The sequence below is a fragment of the Homo sapiens genome, chromosome 19, assembly GCF_000001405.40.
Source record: "Homo sapiens chromosome 19, GRCh38.p14 Primary Assembly".
In the NCBI taxonomy this organism is placed as follows: Eukaryota; Metazoa; Chordata; class Mammalia; order Primates; family Hominidae; genus Homo; species Homo sapiens.
In genome coordinates this window covers 18,206,970-18,219,048 of record NC_000019.10, presented here as the reverse complement: position 1 = coordinate 18,219,048, position 12,079 = coordinate 18,206,970, and the positions used below count along the sequence as shown (strand labels likewise).

Sequence of the window (12,079 nt, the reverse complement as noted above, 5' to 3'; positions counted from 1 at the left end):
CATATCTTAGGAGCTAGAAGACACCAACAAGTGGGGACTTGATGTGTTCAAGGTGGCGGAGCTAAGTGGGAACCGGCCCCTCACAGCTATCATATTCAGCATTTTTCAGGTACCTACCCTGCCCTTGGCTTCCAAGGAAAAACTCCTGGGGTTTCCCTCACTGCTTCCTACCACAGACCTCAGGGACACTCATTTTTCAAATCCTCCCTGACATTTCTGAAGGGGATAATTTGAGCAGGGTATTGAAGGATGAATAGGAGTTCACTCAGATGAACAGTTTGTTGTCCAGAAGCCTCAGCCCTGGCCCGGCCCCTGGCCCTGAAGAGGAGAGAAATCTGGAGAGAAGAGCTGGACAGAGACACCCCCAGTCCTGTAGGGTCAGGGATGGACCACCAAATAACACAGAGTGGAGGAGTTCAGGAGAGCACAGAGGGCATCTCAGAGGAGCAGGTGCTTGAGGCATAGATAGGAGTTCAGAAGAGAGGGGTAGGAACAGCGTGTGCTGCAGCCCCAAGGCCAAGGCCCTGAGCCAGGGTCTGTGATGGACCAGGAGCGGGACCTGCTGAAGACATTCCAGATCCCAGCAGACACACTGGCCACCTACCTGCTGATGCTGGAAGGTCACTACCACGCCAATGTGGCCTACCACAACAGCCTACATGCCGCCGACGTGGCCCAGTCCACGCATGTGCTGCTGGCTACGCCCGCCCTCGAGGTACTGCGCCATGACTGCAGGCAGGTGGGCGGGTGCAGGGCCCAGAGAACCCGCCCCTCACCGCCTGTGCCCTCTGCCTGCTCAGGCTGTGTTCACAGACTTGGAAATCCTGGCTGCCCTCTTTGCAAGCGCCATCCACGACGTGGACCATCCTGGGGTCTCCAACCAGTTTCTGATTAACACCAGTAAGTAGGAGTGGGAAGTGGGTGCAGGAGAAGAGGTGGACCCTGCCTCCACCCTGTCCACCAGGTGATCTCAGGGGGTTCCCATCTGCCCTGAGCCCAGTCTCCCTGTCTATGAAATGACTATGACAGTTTTCCCTCCCTTCAGGGTCTTGGAGCAGGTCTGGGTACACAGTAGGTGCCAACAAATGACAGAATAATGAGCTGTGGCAGAGCTGATCTGGTTCCACCAAGACCTTTATTTATTTATTTTTAAAGACAGTGTCTTGCTCTGTCACCCAGGCTGGAGTGCAGTGGCGCGATTTCGGCTCACTGCAACCTCTACCTCCCAGGTTCAAGCGATTGTCTAGCCTCAGCCTCCCGAGTAGCTGGGATTACAGGCACACACTACCATGCCTGGCTAATTTTTGTATTTTTCGTAGAGACAGGGTTTCGCTCTGTTACCCAGGCTGGTCTCAAACTCCTGGCCTCAAGCGATCTGTCTGCCTCAGCCTCCCAAAGTGCTGGGATTACAGGCACGAGCCACCGCGCCCAGACAGTTCCACCAAGATCTTAAAGTTTAGGATCCTATGAGGAATCTGAAAAACTCAGTTGACAGGCAATTATTGGGCACCTTTTGTGTACAAGCCCTGGAGTGCTGGGGGTGAGAGTGGAGGCCCCTCACTCAAAAGGACCTAGAGTCCAGAGACTGGGTGCCATGGCTCACACCTGTAATCCCAACATTGTGGGAGGCCGAAGTGGGAGGATTGCTTGAAGCCAGGAGTTCGAGACCAGCCTGGGCAATACAGTGAGACCCTGTCTCTCAAAAAAATAACAAAAATTAGTCAAGGGTGGTGGCACACACCTGTAATCCCAACTACTCAGGAGGCTGAGATGGGAGGATCACTTGAGGCCAGGAGGTTGAGGCTGCAGGGAACCGTGATTGCACCACTGCACTCCAGCCTGGGTGACAGCAAGACCCTGTCTCTAAAAAAGAAAAAGAAAAAAAAAAAACATTACTGAGTACTCACTGTCACTGGCCATAGGGGGTCCATGAGGAGCCTTCCCAGTCTTGGGTAGGCAGAGCCAAACACAGACAACCCTAGCCCTGCAGTCAGGGAAGCGCCAGGGACCTGGATGGTTTCTTACAGGAGGGCATGCTAGAGTTGGGCCTTCAACGCATGGGTAGGAGTTTGCTAAGGATTTCCAAAAGCTGCTTTTGGGTAGAGTGGGTGGGGCGGGTGGATCTTGGGGCTCTCAGTCCCATACCCTCACAGACTCAGAGCTGGCGCTTATGTACAACGACGCCTCGGTGCTGGAGAACCATCACCTGGCTGTGGGCTTCAAGCTGCTGCAGGCAGAGAACTGCGATATCTTCCAGAACCTCAGCGCCAAGCAGCGACTGAGTCTGCGCAGGATGGTCATTGACATGGTGAGGCCAGGGCAGTAAGCGGGGCGGGAGGGGCAGAGGGGAGCGGGGCATCCTTCTCATCTGCAGACAGCAGGGTGGGGTGATATTGGCATGGCCGGCGGTTCATCCAGACCCAGGCATGTCCTCACTCTGTCTGAGCTTCCTCATCTGTGAAATGGAACAGTGGGGCCAGGGGCGGTGGCTCATGCCTGTAATCCTAACACTTTGGGAAGCAGAGGCGGGCGAATCACCTGAGGTCAGGAGTTCGAGACCAGCCTGACCAACATGGTGAAACCTCGTCTCTACTAAAAATACAAAAATTAGCTGGGTGTGGTGGTGTGCACCTGTCATCCCAGCTACTTGGGAGACTGAGGCAGGAGAATTGCTAGAACCCAGGAGGCGGAGGCTGTAGTGAGCTAGTGAGCTAGTGAGCTGAGATCGCACCACTGCACTCCAGTCTCAGCAACAGAGTGAGACTCCATCTCAAAAAAAAAAAAAAAGGGGCTAGTGACTGCCCAAACCCCAGGCCCTCTGCTGGGCCCAGCAGATCCTGGCTGTACCCAGGCAATGTGGAAACCGTTTCTGGGGTGTCAGGTGCAACTTTTGCTAAGCCTTAAATTAAGCACATCTGGGCCAGGCGTGGTGGCTCACGCCTGTAATCCCAGCACTTTGGGAGGCTGAGGCGGGTGGATCACTTGAGGTCAAGAGTTCGAGACCAGCTTGATCAACATGGTGAAACCCCTGTTTTTACTAAAAATACAAAAATTAGCCGGGCCTGGTGGCGGGCACCTGTGATCCCAGATACTTGGGAGGCTGAGGCAGGAGAATCGCTTGAACCCGGGAGGTGGAGGTGGCAGTGAGCGGAGATTGCACCACGGCACTCTAGCCTCAGCAACAGAGTGAGACTCTGTCTCAAAAAAAAAAAAAAAAGAAAAGAAAAAAATTAAGCAGCCAGGCACGGTGGCTCAGGCCTGTAGTCCCAACAGTTTGGGAGGCCGAGGCAGGCGGATCATGAGGTCAAGAGATCAAGACCATCCTGGCCAACATGGTGAAACCCTGTCTCTACTAAAAATACAAAAATTAGCTGGGTGTGGTGGCATGCACCTGTAGTCTCAGCTACTCGGGAGGCTGAGTCAGGAGAATCATTTGAACCCGGGAGGCGGAGATTGCAGTGAGCGGAGATCGCACACTGCATTCCAGCCTGGCAACAGAGCAAGACTCTGTCTCAAAAAAAAAAATTATACACATCTATCCATTTGAATTTTTTTTTTTTTTAGGTAGGGGCACATCAGTAAGTTTTGGGGTCTCATGCCTCATTCATTCACTTAACAAGCATTTATTGAGCACCTATTGTGTGCTTGATCTGTGCAAAGACAGTTCCGGCCGTTATGAAATTCTAACCCTTGACTAGGGACCTGCAGGCAGAGCTGTGAGGAGGAAGGTTCAAGGTGCTTTCGGAGCCCAGACCAGCCAAAGAGGTCAGAAAGGGCTTCTTGGAGAGGGAACATTGAAGCCAGGGTGTGCAGAATGAGGAAGGCTGTGTTCTCAGCAGAGGGAACCCCACGTGAGGAGGGCTTAGAGAAAGCCAAGGCTTGGAGTGAGAAAGAACTAAACGTTTGGTGAGGTGGAGTTGGGGTCTTGAGTGGTGGGTACCCACAGGGTGGGGAGACAGCATTTGGGACAGATGAGAGATTTGAGGAGAAGTTTTGAGACTTTTGTCTGACTCTCAGAGAAGCCGGTGAACCACATCTGAGTCACTCCTGGCTGGGCTGAGTCCACATGGGTGGGTTAAGTTTTTTTTTTTTTTTTTTTTGAAATGGAGTCTTGCTCTGTCACTCAGGCTGGAGTGCAATGGTGTGATCCTGGCTCACTGCAACCTCCACCTCCTGGGTTCAAGTGATTCTCCTGCCTCAGCCTCTGAGTAGCTGGGATTACAGGTGCCTGCCACCACACCCGGCTAATTTTTTGTATTTTTAGTGGAGACGGGGTTTCACCATGTTGGCCATGCTGGTCTTGAACTTCTGACCTCTGGTAATCCACCCACCTCTGCCTCCCAAAGTGTTGGGATTACAGGTGTGAGCCACGGCGCCCGGCTGGGTTAATCTGGTTTTTAAACATCTGTGCCTAGAAATAGCCCTCCAGGGCACATGGTGGCTACATGGAAGTTTGAGGGGTATGAAGTCACATCCCTCCCCACAGTGAGCTGCAAACTCCCCTGTGGCTCCCATAGCCTCTGGACAATCTACCCCAGCTGCCAGAGGCCCTCAGTCTCTTCAATCTCACCTCCCTTTCTCTTGAGCTCACTTCTTCCAGCCACAGCCACCTCTTTTAGTTCCCTCCCATGTACCCAACTCTTCCAGCCCCTTTGCACAGAACTCATCCTCCCCACTGTCCTCAGGCACAAGTCACCCTAGCCCCTAACCAGCCCTGTGGGGTCACAGTTGGGGTTGGAGGAGGCCAGAAGGGTCAACAGAGGCATCCTAGAGGATGGGTTATTTTTTTTTTTTTTTTGAGACGGAGTCTTGCTCTGTCGCCCAGATCTGTTGCAGGATCTCGGCTCCCTGCAAGCTCCGCCTCTTGGGTTCATGCCATTCTCCTGCCTCAGCCTTCCGAGTAGCTGGGACTACCGGTGCCCACCACCATGCCAGGCTAACTTTTTGTATTTTTAGTAGAGACGGGGTTTCACCATGTTAGCCAGGATGGTCTCGATCTCCTGACCTCGTGATCCACCTGCCTCGGCCTCCCAAAGTGCTGGGATTACAGGCGTGAGCCACGGCGCCCAGCCTGAGGGTGGGTTATTTGAAAAGGGCTTTGAAGGATGAGTAGGAGTTGGGAAGCGGCATTCCAGGCAGAGGGAACAACGTGGCTAAAGATCTGGAGGCTGGATTGGTTCTAGGGTTTGCTGTGACTCAACGAATGCCTTCCGCCCCACCCACCCCACAGGTGGGTTTCATTGACTACAATGCCCACCCACTGTGGGAGACTCTGTCTGACAAGTCCCAGGCGCACAGATTTGATCACCTCCCCACTACACCCTGTCACACATGTGGAATTCATGGCCAACCCAGATGACCTCCCAAAAGGGGCCCCTGACTGAGCCCCTCTTTTGAGCAGAGTTTGCAGTGAATGCAGTTGCATCCTTCCATTTCACAGATGAGTATGCTGAGGCCCAGAGGGCTGAGTCTGAGCCAGAGTGGCATCTGGGAGTTGGGAGTGAGGGTTGGGGTGGGCAGGGTCCTCGCGCCTGTCACCTTCCCTTGCCTGCCCCCAGGTGCTGGCCACAGACATGTCCAAACACATGAACCTCCTGGCCGACCTCAAGACCATGGTGGAGACCAAGAAGGTGACAAGCCTCGGTGTCCTCCTCCTGGACAACTATTCCGACCGAATCCAGGTGTGTAGCTGGATGGGCACTGGGGCTTCCTTTTTAAATTTTGGTTTTACTTTATTTATTTATTTATGTATTTATTTATTTATTGAGACGGAGTCTCACTCTGTCGCCCAGGCTGGAGTGCAGTGGCGCCATCTTGGCTCAGTGCAAGCTCTGCCTCCCAGGTTCACGCCATTCTCCTGCCTCAGCCTCCCGAGTAGCTGGGATTACAGGTGCCCGGCACCGCGCCCAGCTAATTTTTTTTGTATTTTTAGTAGAGACGGGGTTTCACCATGGTCTCAATCTCCATGAGATTGAGATCCGCCCACCTCGGCCTCCCAAAGTGCTGGGATTACAGGCGTGAGCCACCGCGCCCGGCCGGTTTTACTTTAAAAACAACTTTAGCAGCCGGGCGCAGTGGCTCACGCCTATAATCCCAGCACTTTGGGAGGCCGAGGCAGGCAGATCATGAGGTCAGGAGTTCAAGACCAGTCTGGCCAAGATGGTGAAACCCCATCTCTACTAAAAATACAAAAATTAGCTGGGTGTGGTGGCGGGCGCCTGTAATCTCAGCTACTCGGGAGGCTGAGGCAGAGAATTGCTTGAACCTGGGAGGTAGAGGTTGCAGTGAGCCGAAATCACCCCACTGCACTCCAGCCTGGGTGACAAAGCAAGACTCCATCTCAAAAAAACAAGCCAAAACAAACAAACAAAAACAATTTTAGCCAGGTTTCTTACACATTTAGAGTGAAGGCTGGGCGCAGTGGCTCATGCCTGTAATCCCAGCACTTTGGGAGGCCAAGGTGTGAGGATTGCTTGAGGCCAGGAGTTAGAGGCTGCAGTGAGCTGTGATTGCACCATTGCACTCCAGCCTGGGCAACTGAGTGAGACCCTGTCTCTTAAAAAAAAAAAAAAAAAGCTGGGCTCAGTGGCTCACACCTGTAATCCCAGCACTTTGAGAGGCTGAGATGGGTGGATCGCTTGAGCTCAGGAGTTTGAGACCAGCCTGGGCAACACCCCGTCTCTACAAAAATACAAAAATTAGCCAGGCATGGTGGCGCATGCCTATAGTTCCAGTTACTCGGGAGGCTGGGCTGGGAGGATCATTTGAGCCTGGGAGGCAGAGGTTGCAGTGAGCCAAGATCTTGCCACTGCACTCCAGCCAGGGTCACAGCGTGAGACCCTAACTCATTAAAAAAAAAAAAATCGGAGAGGGCCTCCATTTTTGCAATTCTCATTTAGCTTCATTTATGAAGTGCCGACTGGATGCCAAACTTGAAGAAATGGCAAGAGTCACATGCCTGTGCCTTAACCATTTCTTCAGGTCTCAGGCCTCAGTTTCCCCACCTGTAAGATGAATGTGTCCATGGCACCAAGCCTGTCTGTGGAGGTGCCAGGTCTAGGTGTGGCTGGGCCCCGCCAGTGCCCTCCCAAGCCTCGATCTCTGTAGGTCTTGCAGAACCTGGTGCACTGTGCTGATCTGAGCAACCCCACCAAGCCGCTGCCCCTGTACCGCCAGTGGACGGACCGCATCATGGCCGAGTTCTTCCAGCAGGGAGACCGCGAGCGTGAGTCGGGCCTGGACATCAGTCCCATGTGTGACAAGCATACGGCCTCAGTGGAGAAGTCCCAGGTTGGCAGGGGACTGGGCTGAACCGGTAGACACTGGGAGGAAGTAAAAGGAGGGGCTGAGCCAACCCCACGAGCCCTGGTTTGGCCCTGGCTGGCTAGCCAGGGAGTGTGCCTGAAGGGTGCTGTCTGGGCCGAGTTAGACCTGGGATCCATTCTCTCTGGGCTTCAGGGAGAGGGACATGCACTTCTGGGGTTTGGAAACATCTGTTCTAGGTGACATGCGGGACCCTGGAGGGGCTTCCAGTCTGGGGGACACGTACATTCAGCCCTGTGGGGTTAGGGTTGGGGTTGGAGGAGGCCAGAAGGGTTAAGGGAGGCATTCTAGAGAATGAGTTATTTGAAAAGGGTTTTGAAGGATGAGCAGTTGTTGGGAAGCGGCATTCCAGGCAGAGGGAACAACTTGGCTAAAGATCTGGAGGCTGGATTGAGTCTAGGGTTCACTGTAACTCACCAAATGCCGACATGCCCCACCCCCCGCCACAGGTGGGTTTCATTGACTACATTGCTCACCCACTGTGGGAGACTTGGGCTGACCTGGTCCACCCAGATGCACAGGACCTGCTGGACACGCTGGAGGACAATCGAGAGTGGTACCAGAGCAAGATCCCCCGAAGTCCCTCAGACCTCACCAACCCCGAGCGGGACGGGCCTGACAGATTCCAGTTTGAACTGACTCTGGAGGAGGCAGAGGAAGAGGATGAGGAGGAAGAAGAGGAGGGGGAAGAGACAGCTTTAGCCAAAGAGGCCTTGGAGTTGCCTGACACTGAACTCCTGTCCCCTGAAGCCGGCCCAGACCCTGGGGACTTACCCCTCGACAACCAGAGGACTTAGGGCCAGCCCTGCGTGAACTGCAGGGGCAATGGATGGTAAAGCCCTTTGGCTCTTGGCAGGCAGACTTTCCAGGAAGAGGCTCCATGTGGCTCCTGCTTCACTTTCCCACCCATTTAGGGAGACAATCAAGCTCTTAGTTATAGGTGGCTCCCAGGGTCTAATTGGAGGCACCTGGCTGGGGTCCACTCTGACCCTAGACTTGCCTAAAAGAGCTCTCTAAGGGGCAGCCTCTTACGATGCCCTGGTGTCTTTCTCCTGGGCTTCTATCCCTGTGAGGAGAGGTGCTGTCTGCTGGAGCCTCTAGTCCACCCTCTCCAGTGGTCACTCTTGAGTCACATCTGTCACTTAATTATTTCCTTCTTTATCAAATATTTATTGCTCATCTACTTCGTGCCAGCTTTCTGCCTCTGTAGTAGCCCTGCACAAAGGGTGGGGAGTCAGGAGACCATCCCAAAGGCATCTCCCTGTCTTCCTCTACCAAGCGGCTCTCTGCAAGAGCATGGAAATGTGAGTGGGGAAAATTTTCAGCACCAAAGCTTCACTCATACCCAGTTTTGTTTCTGAAACTACGGTAGGGGGCAGGAAGAGGAGCAGAAAAGAAGGGCTGGGCAAGGCATAGTGGCTTATGCCTGTAATCCCGGTACTTTGGGAGGCTGAGGTGGGAGGACTGCTTAAGCTCAGGAGTTTGAGACCAGCCTGGGCAACATAGCAAGACCCCCACCATCTCTGAAAAAAAAAATTAGCCAGGCATGGTGGTGTGCACCTGAGAATCCCAGCTACTCAGAAGGTTGAGACAAAGGGGATCGCTTGAGCCCAGGAGTTGGAGGCTGAAGAGAGCTATGACTGCATCACTGCACTCCAGCCTGGGCAACACAGCAAGATCCTGTCTAAAAATAAAAAGAAAAGAGAAGGAAAGGAAAGAGACGGGGCTCTGAGGCCGAGCACAGTGGCCCATGCCTATAATCCCAGCACTTTGGGAGGCTGAGGCAGGTGGATCACCTGAGGTTAGGAGTTCGAGACCAGCCTGGCCAACATGGTGAAACCCCATCTCTACTAAAAATACAAAAATTGGCTGGGCATGGTGGCGGGTGCCTGTAATCCCAGCTACTGGGGAGGCTGAGGCAGGAGAATCACTTGAATTCAGGAGGTGGAGGTTGCAGTGAGCCGACATCATGCCACTGCACTCCAGCCTGGGCGACAGAGCAAGACACTGTCTCAAAAAAGAAAAGAAAAAAAAAAAAGCCGGGCCAGGTGGCTCACGCCTGTAATCCTAGCACTTTGGGAGGCTGAGTGGGGGTGGATCGCCTGAGATCAGGAGTTCAAAATCAGCCTGGCCAACATAGTGAAACCCTGTCTCTACTAAAAATACAAAAAATTAGAGGCTGGGTGCGGCGGCTCACACCTGTAATCCCAGAACTTTGGGAGGCCGAGGCGGGTGGATCACGAGGTCAGGAGTTCAAGACCAGCCTGGCCAACACGGTGAAACCCCATCTCTACTAAAAATACACAAATTAGCTGGGCATGGTGTTGGGTGCCTGAATCCCAGCTACTCGGGAGGCTGAGGCAGGAGAATCGCTTGAATCCGGGAGGCGGGGCTTGCAGTGAGCCGAGATCGTGCCATTGCACTCCAGCCTGGGTGACAGAGCAAGACTCCGTCTCAAAAAGAAAAAAAAAAAATTAGCCAGGCATGGTGGCAGGTGCCTGTAATCCCAGCTACTTGAGAGGCTGAGGCAGGAGAATCGCTTGAACCCGGGAGGTGGAGGTTGTGGTGAGCCGAGGTCGCGCCACTGCACTCCAGCCTGGGCAACGACAACAACAATAAAAAGAGGGGGCTCTGTGCCCGGCATGTCTCTGAAGACTGATTGAACCTATGCACCAGTTGTTGCTTTAAGTCGCTTTATTTTCTGTCTTTGGTGTCTCTGGATGTAGGAGCCCCCTGCTTTCTCTGTCCGCAGAACTCCATACTGGGTCCCCTACGTGTTCCTCCTTCCCTAGGACAGCAACAAAAACACACAATTTTCCCTCTCTAGCAGGTCTCTAAGTCTCCTGATTCCTGAAACTGCCTCAGACTCCCCCTAGAGGGAGGGAGGCCCCTGAGGCTTTCTTGCCATCATAGCCTCTTCTGGGCCTCAGTTTCCCCTCTGTAACCTGATCCTAGTACTTGGATAAACTCCGACGAGGTGTGGGGGGTTGTTGTCTGTGACCTCCCTGAAATATCTTAGACATTTGGGGTACTGAGCATTTATCTGGGGTTAAATAAAATCTTTACATCTTAAGACATTCGATTGACCAAATTGAGTGTCCTGGCCATTTCACTGATGAGGAAACTGAGGCGCAGAGAGGTCCTCTTGCCAGCTCAAAGTCAAGCATCTGGGCGCCCAATGTTAGCCAGCGGCACCCCCTGGTGGCGGGCGTGGGAGACACGGCGGGGCGCGCTTGTCGGGGGTTGGGGGGTGGGTCGGAGGGGTGGCATCCTCCAGCCCTGATGGTCCCACTTACCGCACCTCGCCGGGAAGAGCTCGTCCTGCTGGTCGGGCCTCCGAGCGGACTGGGCAGCACCATGCTCAAGCCTAGGGTTCGATCCCCGCCTCCGGAAGCCTCAGTATCCATCCCTCCCCTCTGCCTCCCTCTTCGCGTGCCTGAATATTTATACAAGATACAGGCGTCATCACAGCCGCCCTCGGCTTCCAGAGCAGCTGGCTTCGTTCATAAATATTATAACCACTCAGAATTCATCATCATCACAGTTAATGATAAAATTCCACAGTGCCAGAACTAAAAGTCATCCGGGTTCACGAACTTGGTGCATTTCCTTCCAGACTTTTAAAAAGAAGATATTTAGGGAATTTTTTTTTCAAGATTTTTCCCCCCAGTCCGCTTACAAAGTAATACCATGTTCGCTGTAAAAAATTTGGAAATAATGGAAATGTATAAAGAAGGAAATAAAATTCTGCTGTATCTCCACCCATGGATTATCTGCAGTATTTTGACTTATTTCCCTCTAGTTTTTCTCCATCTGTTATAAGATATTCATATTTTTGGCTGGGCGCGGTGGCTCACGCCTGTAATCCCAGCACTTTGGGAGGCCGAGGCGGGCGGATCACGAGGTCAGGAGATCGAGACCGTCCTGGCTAACAGTGAAACCCCGTCTCTACTAAAAATACAAAAAATTAGCCGGGCGTGGTTGCAGGCGCCTGTAGTCCCAGCTACTCGGGAGGCTGAGGCAGGAGAATGGCCTGAACCCGGGAGGCGGAGCTTGCAGTGAGCCAAGATCGAGCCACTGCACTCTAGCCTGGGTGACAGAGCGAGACTGTCTCAAAAAAAAAAAAAAAATTCATATTTTTTTCTTTCTTTTCTTTTCTTTCTTTCTCTGTCTTTCTTTTCTTTCCTTTTCCCTTTCTCTTTCTTTCTTTCTTTGCGTCTCGCCTTGTCGCCCAGGCGGGAGTGCAATGGTGTGATCTTGGCTAACTGCAACCTCCGCCTCCTGGGTTCAAACGATTCTCCTGCCTCAGTCTCCTGAGTAGCTGGGATTACAGGTGCCCACCACCATGCCCAGCTAATTTTTGTATTTTTAGTAGAGACTGGGTTTTCACCATGTTGGCCAGGCTGGTCTTGAACTCCTGACCTCATGATCCGCCTGCCTCGGCCTCCCAAAGTGCTGGGATTACAGGCATGAGCCACTGCACCCAGCCCTAGAATATTCATATTTCTTATAAATGAATATTCATATGTTCTCCTTCAGTTTGAGCCAAAGGCATTTGTCCCTCTCCTCTTACTGACTGCATCTGCTCTGGCCACACTGCAAGCCTGGTCCCACCACAGGGCCTTCAAACAAGCTGTTCCCACTACCTGGAATGCTTCTCTCTCAGCCCCCAGCCTCACCCATTAGATTTTTGTTTTTATTTTTGTTTTAGACAAAGTTTCGCTCTTGTTGCCCAGGCTGGAGGACAATGGCGTGA

General features: G+C 52.9%; 1 protein-coding gene across 7 annotated transcripts in view; it reads left to right on the top strand.

Annotated features, from left to right (window-relative positions):
* The window catches only part of PDE4C (phosphodiesterase 4C), a 47,398-nt gene extending 36,314 nt beyond the window's left edge, over positions 1-11,084 (top strand). For all 7 annotated transcript variants that reach the window (NM_001414480.1, NM_000923.6, NM_001330172.2 and 4 more), the window contains 7 exons: positions 11-109; positions 551-715; positions 801-900; positions 2,154-2,308; positions 5,559-5,681; positions 7,108-7,290; positions 7,773-11,084. In NM_001414480.1, coding sequence (NP_001401409.1) covers positions 11-109; positions 551-715; positions 801-900; positions 2,154-2,308; positions 5,559-5,681; positions 7,108-7,290; positions 7,773-8,120 — 1,173 coding nt within the window. In that variant the 3' untranslated portion in view covers positions 8,121-11,084. The remainder of the gene's footprint in view (positions 1-10; positions 110-550; positions 716-800; positions 901-2,153; positions 2,309-5,558; positions 5,682-7,107; positions 7,291-7,772) is intronic.